The sequence below is a fragment of the Homo sapiens genome, chromosome 2 (genome assembly GCF_000001405.40).
Source record: "Homo sapiens chromosome 2, GRCh38.p14 Primary Assembly".
Lineage (NCBI taxonomy): Eukaryota > Metazoa > Chordata > Mammalia > Primates > Hominidae > Homo > Homo sapiens.
The window spans coordinates 176,664,316-176,681,956 of record NC_000002.12 but is presented as its reverse complement, the minus strand read 5'-3'; the positions used below and the strand labels follow the sequence as shown (position 1 = coordinate 176,681,956).

At 37.5% G+C, this 17,641-nt stretch overlaps 1 long non-coding RNA gene and 1 pseudogene across 1 annotated transcript; one reads left to right on the top strand and one right to left on the bottom strand.

Moving 5' to 3' along the window:
• The first annotated feature begins 2,198 nt into the window (after positions 1-2,198).
• Positions 2,199-8,733, top strand: LOC105369143 (uncharacterized). The gene is made up of 2 exons (XR_001739797.2): positions 2,199-2,275; positions 8,093-8,733. It is a non-coding gene; the product is annotated as an uncharacterized LOC105369143 (long non-coding RNA).
• RNU6ATAC14P (RNA, U6atac small nuclear 14, pseudogene) lies at positions 17,191-17,281 on the bottom strand (annotated as a pseudogene).

Genomic DNA, 17,641 nt, shown 5'->3' with positions numbered 1-17,641 from the left:
TCGCATGTCCTGAAGTACTGCAATCACTCTGCAGTGTCAAAACCTGTTTGGGTTACAAGACAGATGGGACTTTCAAAATGAAATGTACCTAAGACTGTTTGCTACTATATATATAAAATGTCTCATTTAGTCTCATCTGTGATTTTCCAAGAGGAAAATGTTTCCAGGAGCAATTTATCTCAGTCCTACAGGTTTGTATCACTGAATGACCATCTGAAAAACAGGGCTGGAATCTTTTCTTAAAGGGAAAGTGCATAAGTGTGTTACAGAGTTATTTTCAATGCAGTAGGTGAACAACATGAAAGAGCTCTAAAATAAATGAAATGCTAAATATGAAAAAACTGAAAATATGAACTTTATATGTTTTCATCTGGTGTGTGAAACCTTTCATTTGAGTTCAAAAAATATTTCATACTGTATCTGTGAAAACAAAACAACTGGTAGAAAAGATAAAATTAATAGACAACAATGCTCAATTTTGTGCCAAATTGTACTTTTTAGCTTCTCCTTCCCCTTAGTTACCTAATCAGCTCCTTATTTGAGTAAACCAGCCTATTACTTCTTTGACATGAATGCCCTCCCCTCTTAAGACAGCTACCACTTTGATAGGGCCTACAAGTCAGCTAGCTGCAAAGACTCCCTTAATGCCCTGAACTTCGATTTCTCTTTTATGGCCTCTACTATATATTTATTTATTTTGTCTTTAATTGAAGATCCTCATTTCCTCTTTCAAATAAGTTCTTTGCACTCAGACTCTGTGTCTGATTTATTTTTGCCTTCCTGACAATGCTTAGTACTTGGGAGGAGCTCAGTGATCTTGACTGAATGAACAAGAAATGAGCTGGCTACAGAGGGATGATGCAATGGTTCAGTCATCAAATTTAAAGTCACTTTTGCTTTGGTTGCATAAAATGCATTACTCCAATTTTAAAAGATGAACTATGATTTCATAATTTATTTGGGTCAAAGACCTGAGTTCAAGCTATACTTGATTTTGCTCATCAGTGGAGTGGTTCTATCCAAGGCTCAGCTTCTTTAGCAGCAAAATGGAGATAGTAGTGACTTCCCAGTTAGGATTACATAAACAAGAACCCTGTGGTCTTGTTGGTGAAACATGAGGTCTAAATAACAAAACATATAATGCCTCTCGATTCACTGGAAATTGCAGATAAAAATGTACAGGGTTATAACTGCTAATAAATGCAGTTGCAACTGTGTTTGATCGATACAGCATGGTGGCAAAGTATAAGGTCTAAGTCTTCAAGGAGGACAGGCTATACCAGAAGAGCATCTAGTACTTTAGGTACCAGATTATTGAGTACTAGTTTAACCCAATACTGAATGGGTTAGCAATCTATATTGTCTTAGGATGGCAGTTTAGAGTAGTAGTCAAGAATACGGACTCTGGAGTTAGAATTCTTGGGTTCGAAGCTTAGAATAATAATAAGTGTCTTTTAGGTCTTTCAGGATCCTTGTAAGGATCAAATGGCATAATTTACATAAAGCTCTTAACACAGTGGCTCTAGCCTTTGATGAGATCTCAATAAGTGTTAGCTATGATCAAACAATCAAATCATTACTAGTTCATCTGTATGCACAAATATGCTTCCTGTTGTTTTAAAAGTAATTCTATGTATTTTCATGTTTCCAAAAACAGGGGATCTCCCTTCCCTTTTTCAATGGACTAGCACAGGACCTGCCCACAGAGGCCCTAACTCAGTGCTCTCTGAATGAATGGATGAATGGGTACAGGTCAGTGCTCAAAATTAACGGGCAGGATGTGTCGATGGGAGCCAACAAAAATATCGATACTCCACTATTTACATGTCAGGGAGTTGAATTATTGTCTACTGGACTCTCCCAGACCACTCTGGGCACTGTTTTTAGTGAAGCGGACACTTGGGGTCACACTTTTGATGACAGCAATAAGAGTGAACACTTGGTGAGGGTTTACAATGCACAAGCACCATGCTAGAAGCCTTACGTGCATTATCATATTTTATCTTACCATAACCCTCTAACATGATACCATTCTTATTCCCATTTTACAGGGAATATCACTGAGGCTCAGAGAGGTAAAATTAATTTGGCTGAAGTCAAACTGAACAATGAGGGCACTGTGGCTCAAACTCACATCACTGGAATTCCAAGTATATGTACCTGACGTTACATAATATTGTCTCTGTGGAATGCTTTGAGGAAAGGAACCTAAGATTTTGGAACTCTGAGACTATGCTGAATCTGCTAAAATTTTGAGATGCTCTCTGTTCTGGAGGTAAGTCTCAACTAAATGATTCTTCTGATTATTAACTCGGCACCCCTGTTTTGAGCCAGAATCAACTCCAAATTTGCAAAACCACCTCTTTTCCTTTGCCAGCACCCTCTGCCACCTGCTGTCTTTCCTGTGTTAAAACCATGGGGCAGAGAACACTTAGCAAATTAATAGAAGAAAAAAACCTCACTTTTCTGGCTCATAAAATGTTGAGCCAGTTTCTTTGGAACCTCCTTAGCTAAGATACTGAAAAGAATGGAATTTATACTACAACTTTCTTCCCAGATGGTAAAGTGCTTTACAAATAATGGAACTAATGCAATTCATTTGTAGTGAGTCAATTTGTCACCTTGGATGTTGTATTAACTCTCTGAAGCCAATTCAATTGCGGATTCAATAAATAAGCTCTTCCAGTGTACTACATGATGCCCTGCTGGTTAGAAAGAGTCCTACATAAATGGTAATTTGATCCTTTGCCACTCTGAATTCTTTAATCCTTGAAACATGCTTTTGAGAGATATGGAAAGAATTAATGCTTCCATTTTCTTGCTGGAGAAACTAAGGAACATATGCCATAAGGAATCAATCAGCCAATCTCAGCTCTTGCTCAATTCTGTGACCATTTCAATGCTCATTTCATAAATATCATCTAGACTGATTACTGCTCATGGGTGTAAAAGTGATCAGCAAAACTCTGCTTGAAAATATTTCCCTGACTCAGCCATAGTTGCTGCTGTCCCCTCAGGTGAATTTGAAACTGCTCGTGTTTTGTATTCTGCTCTCATCAGCTTCGGTTCTATTCTCACCCTTAGCCATTCTGAAGGGTTTCATTCTTTGGAGGGGCACAGCTCTGTGCATTACGTACTAGATGCTTCCTTCATACCAAGTTGAAAGTCATTGTTTATTGAACCAAAGTTGGCACCGAGAATGGAAACAAATGGGAAAAGGATGTGTATCTGCATTCACATTGTGTTATTTATGCCCACAGGTCCATGGCATGTAGCACGTATAAGCATTTTTATTTATTTATCTTTTAGTGAACTCAAGTAGTCCTTAAAGAAATGCATAAATATAGAATAAAATTGAATTTCAGAAATAAAGAAACTTGTATTAAAAAGCAATGCATGTCACCATGTTCAATGTAATTCCCTGAACAGAATTCCTTTGGAAAAGTAAAACTGACACATTTGGCCTCACTAAACTGTCATGATGAGTTAAACATTGATTATGGGGGAAAAAATGAACCCTGGACTAGAGGGGAAGTCATTCCTTATAATGCAACGGATAATAATTCTGTAGCTGTGCCATCCAGAAGTCCACGTAATGCTCTTTTATTCCGGGATATCTTATGTGGGATTTAAAATGTCTAGAGGGATTTTCTAGAAGCATTGTTTTGTTCTGAATAAGGAAGATAGGTCAGAATGGATAGGGTCTTTTTTTTTTTTTTTTTTTTTTTTTTTTTGGCCTTAAATGAGAAGGCCCATTTTTAATACAACCACTGATCTGGTGATTGTATTTGCTTTATTAGTAGCTAGTAGTATTATTGTTAGTATTTGCTGCATATTTTAGCCTCATGATGTCATCCTACATAGCTCAGTATTTCTGGGCTTCTTCAGTTTCTTCCTTGTGAGTAATTTGCCTTCTTTGCATTTTTGATGGATAGCATTGTATGAAAAAATATTAAAATACCCCAATGAACACTGTATACATCTATTGTGAATTCCACATTAAAGGGGTCCAGAAGCATGTTATGAATACAGAGGGTTGGTTCATTTGCTTTCTTCAGCTTGCTGAATGTACTGTTTGTCTTGATGTAGACTGTTATTTATGAAAAGTCTGCATAGTGGAAGAAAACATAGGGAGTACTGTTCAAAGAATCGTTAAGGAGGTATTATTTCAGATAATAATGTAATTAGACTCCTTTAGAGGAAAACGTAACTTCATATTTTCAGCTTTTCTATGGGAACATAGCTGTGGCTAATTAAGGGAAAAGTCAACTAATTTATAATGTTTAAATTTAGTGTTAAACTTGATAATATACCTGAAATTACAAAAGCCAAAACAACTCCAGCCCTGGCTCAAAAGCAGTTCTTTAATTTAGGATTAGATGAACACTCTTTCTGCAACCAAAATTCTAATTTTGTAGAGCCTTCTAGATCTTAAAAGGCATCAAAGGCAAAAGAAAATTTCTCACAAATCTGCCATGTTCAAAGTATCTACTTCAAAACAGAACCTTTTTTTTAATCTCCAATTTAGCCTGACAAAAATTCTCTTGGGCTTTTATTTCAAAAGATGAAAAATGAGCCATGGCAGTCAATGGAGTGCGGTGACTATTTATCTGTTTATGCCTATCCATGTGATTGCTAGAAAAACCAGATTTGACTTTGAATGTGATATGAAGAACGTATGCTAGTCACAAGCCCATATTCCTCAGAGGAGAAATAGGTTAAAAACTCAAAACTAAAATTTAGAAACCACACATTTTATTTTTGTAAAAAATAATTCAAAGCCTGATTTTTTTTTCAGTTAAAATGTGTGTCCAAGTTTTAAATAAACCTATCATATGGCAAATCAACTCCCAGTTTACACTTTTTCCCAAAACCAAAAAAAATCCAGGTTCCCTCTCTTGACTTTGGAGCCCCGCTCCCTCTGTCTCTGAACGGGGGAGCTTCTATCTTCTGCCTTCTCCCATCTTTCTTGCCTATTAAACTCTCCACTCATTAAAACCACACACACACACACACACACACACACACACACACACACATACACACACAAATCACAAGGCTAACTATTTAATAATGTCCATGTTTTACTTTATGTAACAGGTATCTATCAGAAAAATACTAATTTTGATTAATTGAAGAATGACATAAATGCACAAAAGATGCCTTTTATTTATAGAATTCTATGGCAAATACCTTTGCAAAGCAAAGAGCATTTCTATAAAGCTAATAATAATTCTGAATCATTCTTATTTTGTAGTTCCCAATTTTCATTGATTGGGCTTTAAGTGGATGTGCACTTAATTTATAAGGAAAAATTTACACAGAAAATTTATATGGCAGCCATTCTGCCATAATCAAAAAGCAAATTCATTTCTGAAGGAAAGTAGGAAAGACACAACGGCATAGTGCCTCTTTTATAGCCACATCTGCACAGCTCAGGGAAAAGTTAACAGATATGTCTGCTGATCACATTACAAAGCTGTTATGAGAGAATAAAGTTGCACCTTTGATGGGCTATTGCAGCTGAGTTAGGGGTCCCCAGTCATTAGAAGTTTTGCATGTCACAGATCAGAGCAGATTGGAGACCCAGAAATACTTTATGCAACTAGCTGAATTTTGGTCATTTCCATCAAATATCAGTGGACTCATTAAATAAAGATGAAACACACGCACACACATACACACACACACACACACACACACACACACACACACCCGAGATAAAGATGGGTTTAGGTTATTTCTGACTTTCACCTCTGTGATAGAAGGTCCATTGTGCTCATGCAGTGCCTTCAGGACACCCGCTGAGAACAAAGCTGCTTTCAGGAGCAGTAAGTGATTTCATTCTATTAATGTCCAGGTGATATGTGAAGCCCATTATCACATCGCTAATGTGGCGGCAGACATTTCCTGGCCAACCCAAGGCAGTAGCTCAAATGTTGGTAAAATGTGTGACTGGAAAAGGTAGTCCTTAGAAATCTTTTTAATTTTCTACTAGTGAATGCTAAAAACAACCACAAAACTGACCTTTTCAATTTCAAAAGAAGATGAAATTGAATGCTGCATGAAAAACCACAGGAAACATTTACACAAAACAATTTACAGGAGTTAATGGAAGTGTTTGGGTGAAGTGTGTGTTTTCCAGACGCAATGGGTCCCATGTTGTCGGAGAAAGCTTGTCATTTGAGGGGAAAAGTGAGTAATGTAGAAAAGCAGGTAATTCCGGCTCACTTCACAGCACACTGAATGAACAGGAATCACCCCTGACTGTCGCTCACTCTCCCCATGAGAACATATCATAACACATTGGGGGCCACCTCCATGGTCCCCCGTCAGGCAATGTGCCCTGTGAAACCAACATAATCAGCTCCTAGAAACATTGAGTATACTGAAGTACAGAGATGCATAGGCAGGTTAAAAACAGAAGCTGCAATATTATTAAAATTAACCACTCAATTTTAAGAAGATACTGGAAAATGATGCACATATTCTCAATTAACATCTTGTCAACAGTTCTAAATCCAGAGAGAGCTCATATTACCCAGAACTGTAACTACTTCTCTGAATTTAAGATCCCACCTCAAATAAATGAAAATGTATCATTTTTCAGATGGCAATGCAGGCCTACCCGCTAAGCCTGATTTTTTTTAATGAAATATGTTACTGTAAAAATAGTTAAGATTTGAGTTTTAGGCAAAATTTTTAAAATCTAAAATGAATACAGTAAAATCAATATTGATTATTAGGAGGAAAGGTGCTAATTGAGCCTGGAAAACCTTTTAAGAACTAAGAGGAGAAAATTTCCAGTAAAACTACAATAAATTACTATTCAATAACCAGAATATTTGTGTGGAATTTAACGTCAGTACATCAGCCTCCCTTTAATTTTTTTAAAATCATATATTACTGATTCACCCAGGAAGTCTCTTCCAGTAATAAGAGCAGTGTCATTTTGGCAAGTTACCTTTTCAACCTATATTTCATTACGTTCTAAAGAAATCCACTTTTTAGATTTCTTATGCTTTTAAGAATTCATTTTTAATCACCCCTTGTTTTTTAGCACTCAAGTCTTTCAGAGCTTGATATATACTTCTCTCACAGTAAAGTGAAAGCAAAACCATTTTATTTTAATAATGGATCACATTTTAATATTTCACACAACATTCTGAGAGCAAATATTCTTGATGACAAGTTTAAGAGAACAAGATTTTATTCCTTATTGTGTCATTACAAAAGCTGACCCAAAAGTTCAATAAATTGCCCTGACTGGGCAAATACTGGCAAAGTCCAAATCCCCTATAAACGTTTGCTTTAATCAGTGTCAAGACTGGTGCTGATTGTGAGTTGAAGAACCCCAACATTAAATCTGTATGTTAGCATTTAGGCACTCCATTGAAGAACTTTTCATTCCTGAACACTCCAAGGGCTTCATATAGGCTGAAACCTATTGTCTGAAGCAACATTCAAATGCCCTGAAACATATTTCTGTTCTCGTTAGACACAAAAGCAATTCTGGTCCTTCCCAACAGATGCTTCTCTATGGTACCCTTACCCATTTAGTACTATATTTTACATTCAATCTATCTAATTATCCTCTTAGAGAAAAAAATCTGTAACCAATTCATATTTCTGGCTTCCTAGACATATTTATGGTTTTCTTCCCATCCACCCAGGGAAATGAGAAAAATGGAGACATTTGAAACTGGGCAACAGTTTCCTCAACATCTCTTTTTTTTTTTTTTTTTTTTTTGAGATGGAGTTTTGCTCGTTGCCCATGCTGGAGTGCAATGGTACGATCTCGGCTCACTGCAACTCCTGCTCACTGCAACCTCCACCTCCCAGGTTCAAGCAATTCTCCTTCCCGAGCCTCCCAAGTAGCTGGGATTACAGGCGCCCACCACCATGCCCAGCTAATTTTTGTATTTGTAGTAGAGATGGAGGTTTCACCATTTTGGCCAGGCTGGTCTCAAACTCCTGACCCAGTGATCTGCCCACCTTGGCCTCCCAAAGTGCTGGGATTACAGGCGTGAGCCTCCGTGCCCGGCCCTCCTCATAATCTTTATTGACTGGGTTCCCTTCTCCCATCTTACAGGTGACACGGGGTGACAGTGGTGCTCCATATTCCTGAAGACACCTGGAAATATTGTGGGACGTGCCCTGAGTTGACATCAGGCAGGTCCTACCTTCCTGATTGGCCCCTGTTGGTGCTTGAAGAGCCCACTGAAACAACAGACTGAGCAAAGACTTTTAAACGCTGCACGTGGAATCTACCTCAAAGAATATCTAGTTCAAACTGGTCATTTTGCAGATGAGAAAACTGAGGTCCAGGACCATGAAGAGTTAACAGAGGATTAACACTAAGGCTCTGTCCCCTGATTTCCATCCCAGTGGTCTCTTTCCAGCACACAGGCTGTGCCACAGATTTTATAGGCATCTGGAATTTTGCTGGCAGGGTTACTTCTAAGAAATCTTTCGGTGGAATCTCTTTAAGTGGCCCCTGGAATGTAAGCACTATGGGCAGTCTGTAGTGACCCAGAGCTCCAAAACAGAGTTTCTAAACAGGCATGGCAGCAAATCCCAGCAACATCAGGCAGATGCTTTAGACATTTAAGGATCTGCAGATACTGCAGAATCCCTCAGTTGTGTGGTCAGCACATTACAACTCACATAACTGTAAAATTTTGCTGCAATAAAAATTATTTTTATAATAAAAAACATACTGTTATAAAAGTATTACCACTGGTAATAGCACCTGTTTTGACATCACTTTATAAAGACTTTTCCTGTAATTATTTCATCTTGTCTTCACAAAACCTGTGATGTCGTATGAGCATACCTATTTCCATAAAAGGAAACTGAGGCTCAAAGGGATTAAGTGATTTGTTTAATGGTACTCAGTTATTAGGCAGCAGAACAGGAACCTGAATGCCAACTCCCCTGCTTCTATACTTTGCTCCTACTAATCACAATCCCTCTTGATATGAGCTTTAAAATGACTTTCTTTGCAAGTTTCATGAGCATGTTGATAAACAAAGGTCTCTAGGAAGTCCAAATGTTTTTTCGCTGACTACCGCCTGGCTTCTAGTTCTCTTTCAATCTTTTATTTTTAGTCTCCTTTGCATTTAAGTTTGAGACAATAAGATCCTGAGGAGCTTGACTGTGGCCTGGGCCTGGGGATACTTCAGGATTGTGAACTCAGGGAATCTGAGGCAGGAATTAAAAGGTACATGAACACAAATAGGAACACATCTTCTCAAGAACTTAGGCTTTTTTTTTTTTTTTGGATAGGCCTCAGCCTCTTTAGTAGCTGGGACCACAGGTGCACCACCATGCCCAGCTATTTTTTTTTTTTAATTTTTTGAGACAGGGTCTCCCTATGTTGCCCAGGCTGGTCTTGAACTCCTAGGCTCAAGCAATCCTCCCACCTCAGCTTCCCAAAGTGCTGGGATTACAGGCATGACTCACTATACCTGGCAATTTATGCAGGAATCTTTTTTTTTTTTGTAATCTCTCTGTGAATTCATTATAACACCATTTTACTGTATATTTAACAAATAAAGCTATCCAAGAAAACAAATAAACAACAACAAGAACAACAAGAAAAACAAGGAATTCAGTAATTTACTACTAACTCAACATTCACCAAGCCTCATGTAATACTTATCTAAGGTAGCCAAACTACTGTTTTCTATGAGAAATCTTAGAATTTACAGCAATTTATGATCAGGACTGATGTCTGAGCTCTTGAAACAAAATTGAGAGCTGGGGTGTCCAGGAACCCAAAGAGAGGTGCTATCTGTTTTGTGTTTTGATTTGATTTGTTTTGCCCCTCATTTCTCAAGGAAGCCTTTCTGTGATCTATAGCCTTTGCAAAGAAGAAGAGTTGTATGGAAGGGCCAGCTTTGGGGTCCTTAGATGAATTATTTGGGAGCATTGCCTAACACTACTTTTACTGACATTCAGCCAGGTCAAGGCCATGGCTCCAAATAAGGAAAAAATAAAAGGCTACTGTCCAGCTGGGTCAGTGGCTGGTATCTTAGCTACTTGCACCAAAGCTCTGGTATAAATATTTGATTGTTTCTCTCTAGATTTTTTGGTTACATTTCTGGAGAAAACAGAAAAGCTACAGTATACATGCCTGTGTTTACACACACACACACACACACACACACACACACACACACACCCACAATCACACAACAGTAAACATTCATTGGAGGTGGAATTCTGGTTTAAGGATCAACTCTGCCCCAGATTGTATAAAAATAATAGTAGCATAATCTTTTAAACCACTGTTTTGATCCCTAGCTTATTTTTACTTTATTAGTTAAATAATTAATATTCACGTTAAGCCAACGACTTATCAGTGGCTTTAAAGCTTTAAAGCAGAATCCAACATGTGAAGTTAATTTCTTCTTTATTCAAACTGTTATAGTGAATATAGATGTGAAATCACTTTACAAATTATAAAGCAATATACAAATGCAAGCTGATATGATCATTAATTGAGTCCATGCATTCATTCATTAAGCAAACATTTACTTAATGTTCATCACATAGCAGCACAGTTCCAGGTACTTGACAGTGTCAAAGTTGCCTGCAGACCCCTTTGATTTTGGTTTGGAACTGTGAACCAGCAATTTATCCAGTGAGTAATATGCCTTTGAAATGGGTCCTGATTTCAAAGAAAAGCATACAAAGCCTTTCAATTTTAAGCTCACAAACAACTGGATTTCACCGAGTAGGATTTTGAATATACACCAAATCTATTCAAAGCAAAACTAGTTTCTTAGCCTCAGCAGCTGCAAGAAATGTTACCTAGCAATTGAAGGCTGGAGGTTTACCCAATGCAAAGTAATGTAGCTATTTGGTGTTTTCTTAATTTTGTCATTGCAGAAAGCAAATGAAAATAATTTATGCCCCTAAGGAGATTTTTCTTCTTTCCTCCTTTCCTTTTTATTTATTGTTGCTGTTGTTAGTGGTTGAGATATTTTGAGAGAAAGTGGGGGAGGGCTGAACAATCATCTTGGTGAGCTGAGTAGATCAAAGGAATAGATTCCATGGGCTGGGCACATTCTAAATGTTCTTTGGGTTTTGATGTGCCAAAATCACACTAGAACCTGTAATTTAAATTTCATTGTCAGAACTTTATCTAGTTAACTTCTACCTTACCTTATCAGAAACAAGGTTTCTTTGAATAGTACAGAGAAAAAAAGAGGTAGAGAGAGAAATCTCCAATAAACCTTTATTTAGGATCTATAGATAAATACTCATTTCACAACTTCTGCTTGTGTTCTACACAAGCCCTCATGGCACAAAGAGAGACTTTTAAAAATTTTTAAATAAGATTCTTGAAAAGGAGTTTCAAGCTCCTTGAGAATAGTGAGTTTATTTTGTTTTATCTCTTCAGTACATAGCCTGGGTCTGGCAGTTTGTTAAATAAGCAAGTGAATGAATGAATTATGATAATACCAGCAGCATCTACCAAAACTACTGAACAAAGTTCCAGCCAGTACTAAGTGACATTCAACCAGAATTCTTTAAAAAGCATCAGCCACAAAGAAAGTTAGCCGGAGCTAGGAACAAAGCTATGCTATGGCCATACAGAGGGAATTTCGTAATGTTGCTCATCCTAGAGAAGTGATTTCCCAAAGGCAGGTCTGTGCAAACATTTTCACAGGTCCAGAGCAAAATGAGGAAATTTTCTTAAGAAAGATTTTATTTTTAGATTATAGTCTTCTCATATTATAGTATAAAAATTTCCCTTCTTGTATGAAACAAAGGAAAAAAGAGACTGGTTGTGTTCACTGTCTTTACAGGAGTGAGGTGGGAGGTAGTTAGCAATTCTGTTAGTCCTCAAACTATTTTTGGAAACTGCCAGGTTATGAAAAGCCAAGGTAAGATAATCAACGGACCACAGAACTTAGCCTCTCAGCCTGCTCTCCTGAAAGTAAATGGGACCTACAACTACAAGTCACAGTGACCTCCTATCACTCTCATGACTGCCTGCAACAAGGTAGTGAAAACATAGAACATGTCCTCCTGATGTCTCCAACTTTCTGGGTGTGATACTGATCACAGGTGAGGTTTTCACAGTCTGTTTCTAATTCATTCCTATGCTGACACAGGCTGCACTTTTAACCAAGTTTTTGCTGCTGAATGCTTCATTGAATTCTCCTTTCCTGGAGAGACTTTAGAATCACTTGATCCCCAGATTCAAACAGCATTCCAAGGCACTGGGGTTAGGGGAAGCAAAACCAAGGGCACGTTTCAAATGACAGGAAAGGCCCCTGCTGACCTCCCTGTACATGGTCCTGTTTGTCATGATGAGACGCTAATTTCAAACCAGGAAGTCTATTTAGTGAAGGAATGGAAACTCCCCACACGACACCAGGACTGTTTAAGATCACACACTCTACTCCGATCACACATTCACAGTGCACTAAAGTGGTTGAAGAAAATCACTCTGATTCTGGGCACTCCAGCTGTCTGAGAGTTCAAAAGCTTAGACCATCATGTGCTTGTTGCTATTATTCATGCTGAGAAAATCTTTTCATCTTTTTTTAAAAGTTGGTCAGAGAAACTGGGTGGTGCTTTTCCTTAAAATAACTTGAACAAAAATTAGAAATGAGATAACATGGTGACAAATGAAAACTCTACATTGTATTCATTCACTGAAAACTTTCCCAGCAATATAGGAAAAACCAGCCAAGCCTGGAAGGCAGCCTCCCTATCTGGGGAAATACTGTGAAGCTGGACAAATGATGAAACTGAGCTTTGAACAAATATACCCCTAATCCAACATAAGACATGGCTGAACAGCAAACTCAATGAGATCTTTGGTTTAGCAGAGAAATTATGTAATGTCAGAGAGCCCCAGACTTGCTTAGCTACATGTCTGAGAATGCTTAAAATGGTCCTTCCACAGCAACTAATACAGATGTACAATTCACTGACCTAGTTTTCCCAAATTGGATCAGTAGCAAATGATGATGATTTATGTCCCAAACCTTCCACCATGAGCAATCCAAAAAACATAGAATTCAAAGGGAAAAAAAATCACATGTTCAAGGGAATACAGAATACCCGGATATTGTAAATTAGGTTCCAGGGCCACTGGCTAGTAGCAGAATATATCTGCAGCATTATAAGCTGCTGCTAATCTATGAATATACAAAGAAAGAACACTGGTCTGGCACCTCAGACATTTATAAGGAACCATTCATTCATTCAAATGAACAAACCTAAGGAGAGAAGAGTCTACCTGTGAAGTTAGACCCTAATGTAGGGCATACACATTGGTATTAATATCAGATGGCATCCTAAAAAGAGGGTTCTTGTCGACTAACCAGCAATGTGTCTTAGGCAATTGATTTTGCTCTCTGGCCCTTACTCAGTTTTGTGATCTGTAAAACAGGGATTAGATTAGAGTATATCTAATGTCCCAAACATCTCTGATACTTTCTAATTCAAGTTGTTGATCAAATACCAAGAGAAGATTGTTAAGGACTAACATGATTTTCAAGATAAATTTAGATCAATCTCCTCAGTGCATACTGAACATCTTCCATCATAGACCACTGCCTTAGCATATGCGGGAAGTGGGCCAAAATGTTCAATTCCAGTCTTTAATTTGAAAGGGTCTGACACTTTGGTTCAGGAGATAGGACACATACATAAAATTGCAATACAGAGTAATCAATGCTAAATTCCAAATGTCCAGCACAGATACAGCACAGAATTCAAAGGAAGAAAAGCTTCTCCAAGGTTTAGGGCAGAAGGAATCATTTTCAAGGAACAGGTGGAGCTTTAGCTTAATTCTCTCTGAAGGTAAAAAGCTAAATTGGATAACTTCTCAGGATCCTTGCAAATCTAAAATTATCCTGTAACAACAATTAATGTTATTAATTGTTATTAATGTTAATGTTATTAGTGTAACATTAATTAATGTTAATAGTTAATATAGGCTCCACCTCTAATAGGTATAGTAATATTACTAGTACCATAAAAATTAGTTCAATTTATATAGGACTTATTTTTCTAGTAAAGGTATTTCATAATTAATTACAAATTACCTTTGAATAATTATACCATACAAGCTAACTACCTATCTTATATGTGACTTAACAACTAATTCAGGTTTAAATAATTGCTTCAAAATAAATTGAAGATGATTGTTGAAAATTATGACTTCCCAACTACAAGGATTTATTTCTTGACCTTCCAGTAGCTATCTCCGAGTACTTCTAGGGTGGAACACAGGTGAATTAAACCAGTTGTTTGGCAGCTATAAAGAATTCCTCTCTTTGCATGCCACTGACCTTTTCATTGGTAAACTGGTGGACAGGGTTAAGAGTAGACTTAACAATTCTGCCATCATCAAGCAGTTTTATCATGTTTGGCAACTTTACTCAAATCTGAAAGAACACAAAAGAAAGCTTCCCCATAGCAAGTGGTAGAAGGTTACCTGTGACATATCCCTCCTTTTAGTGACCCCACCAAAGATTACAGTACCCAGGAGAGAAGAGGACTCTCAGCTGCTACACTCAGGGGGACATTTAAAGTACATCCAATTCTGAATTAGAAACATGGGCAAAGGCCTAATTTCACAAAATTGGGCCATCCTGTGCTTGCAGCTCTGCTAATGCTTGAAAGGGAAAGATTTTTTAAAAATTAAAAAGAAAGCAGAAAATGGGAAAGCACTTATTTAAAATTAATGTCACTTCTCATTTTTAATTATTCTTTCCTGAACTCTGCCTCACCCTTAACCCTTTGCTTGTTGTATACACTTAAACCTGGAGACAAACATAAAATTAGTTTGCATATAGACACTAATTAACATACACTGCTTGACGATAACAAACCCATCTTTTCATCTATTTTTAAATTCTTATTGTGAATCCTTAAAATATATCCCATTTTAAAGCATCACTGATTCAATTTTAAAACATTGCCAGAACTTGCTTTGCTAATCTGCAAACTCGATAATTCTCCCCCAAACCTCAGCACACTCAGCAACAATTTAATAGCAAATATCTCTAGTGGGACTTCATATTACTAAGATTCTATTACTTTTTATATTACCAAAAAAGTGCTAGTACACTCTAAAGTATTATAAATAGTTCAGACCAGGCAATGCTTGTCAAAATATATGAAAGTTTATTTTTTTGCACTCAGAAACTTGGGATTTTTATCTTGTGTATTTATAAGCTATAATGTGCCCCTCCATAATTAGTACAAAATGTAGATTACTAATCAACTTTCTAAAGTTTCTAGACATTTTATTTCGTTAACGTGATTACTAAGGTTGGTATGTTGTACGCTTAATAACCCGATCTTGCTACTAAATGCAAATTATAAACATATCTTAAAATAATTGCATATATGCCTAAAATGGGCTTCTTTAATTATATTCTTCTTAGTCTGCTAAGCAGCCTTTTTTCGATTGAGGGAATTTGTGTTTATGCTTCCTGAAGATTTTTAGTTTGGGGTTTAAGAGACGGATATAATCTACACACTTATTTAATAGTTTCAATACGTTTAAAAATGACCTTTAAGAAGTATATATCCCCCTTAACTACCAAATGCTTTGTATCTTGTCAGAAGTCGCTGTAAAACTGTTCAACTTTTGAAACGTTCAAGTTCTTCCATCATTAGTACAAGTCCAACTAGAAGTATACAGAAGTAGGTCAATCTATAAATACAGAGATATTTCCATAAAGAAGAGATTTTATAATGCTCGATCAAGGTATGTCTTCAGCAATTTCATGCTAGCTCCATTTTTAAACAGATTATTACTCATTCTGCGTGAGGCCACTGTGCTTCTTATTTATTTGCAATAAATACTATTCACTATACAAACCAATCTTTAATAAACTACTCACATTCTTTATTACAGGTGAATTGCAAAATGCCACCTTAATTATAAAGCAAATCCACTGTTGATATTTGCACCAAGTGTGTATGGACAAACCAGCAACACAGACATATTAATAACCTCCAACTTGTATTCCCATGCCCCATGAAATTTCTCTAAGGGTTACGAAGTGATGCCCTTTTGGCCCAATTTTCTGCCCCTCCTCTACCCTTCACTGTTTCTCTAGTACATTCTATCCCTTTAAATTCCCTCTCCATGCTAATACAATCTACTCTTTTTTTTTTTTTTTTTTTTTTTGAGACGGAGTCTCGCTCTGTCACCCAGGCTGGAGTGCAGTGGCGTGATCTCGGCTCACTGCAAGCTCCGCCTCCCGGGTTCATGCCATTCTCCTGCCTCAGCCTCCCAAGTAGCTGGGACTACAGGTGCCTGCCACCATGCCCGGCTAATTTTTTGTATTTTTAGTAGAGACGGAGTTTTCACCATGTTAGCCAAGATGGTCTCAATCTCCTGACCTCGTGATCCACCTACCTCAGCCTCCCAAAGTGCTAGGATTACAGGTGTGAGCCACTGCACCTGGCCCAATCTACTCTCCTTTTAAAAAATTTACAGTGAGGTATAACTGTCACAGGAACAAAAATACTCCAGCTTCTTCTCTCCCTGTAGATGGATCTAGCTGGCAAGCCAAATCATAAGGAAGAGGCTCTTTAACAAATTTGATCAAACAAAGGCGGGTACCTGGAAATAGACTCAAAGTGGATCCTGTGCATTGAGAGATGGTCTTGCTCATTGCAATGGAATTTTCCACCTCCCAGTGAAGGAAGCATAACACTGCTCTGGGTTCCCCTTGGCAAAAATGTAGTCCTGCTCCCTTACTATTTCCATGGTATGATCTGAACCATGTCCCAGAGTGAGACTGATTCCATGGCAAAGCTAGAAGGGCAGGCTTAGTCTCTGATACACTAATCAGGTGCCTTCAAGTGAAAAAAGTCAACACACTTTTTCTGGCTTGAAGGGCAGAACTCGCCCTATCCATCCATTCCTCATTCAAACAATTTCTGACAAATTCAGCACCTACTACTATTCCAAAACACATTTGTGCCACAGGTGTGGTCGTCAATAAGCTTAATGCCCAGCTGCTTAGAATCACAGAAAATTCCAAGCTCCTTTTATAGACACAGAAAACAAGACCCAGAGAGGTTATATGATTTTCCAGAATTAGACAGCTGGCTAGAATACTCCGGCTTTTCTTTATATCCTTTTTTTATTTTTATTTTTTTCACAAGACAGCATTTAGTACAATCTTTACTGGTTTTACAGCTATTTTTTTTATTTTATTTGTCAGGCCTGAGGGACTCTTCCATCCTTGTCAAACGGGGTGCTAACCTCTCTAGCTATTAAGTAAACTAGACCACAAGTGACTACTGCAACCAAGCACGCAGGGGCAGGGTGTGGAGCACTGCATTCAACTTTAGTTTTCAGAGGTCCTCGGTAGGGTGCTTTTATGTTCTTGTTAATGAATATAAATAAAACTTAAAGTTAGTCTCCTCAGAGTGAGGGTCTCTAAAAGCACAATTCAGGCTCCAAAAACAAGGAAAACTCATGGAGATATAGACCATTACTTGTGGAAAGTAGTAAAAAGGACACAGAATAATGTCTCTGAGCTTCTTGAATTTACATCTCTGCTTCTACCTTTGTCTGTGAGAGAGATATATAGACAGACAGATCGATATATATATCATATTAAATATGCATATATTGCATATA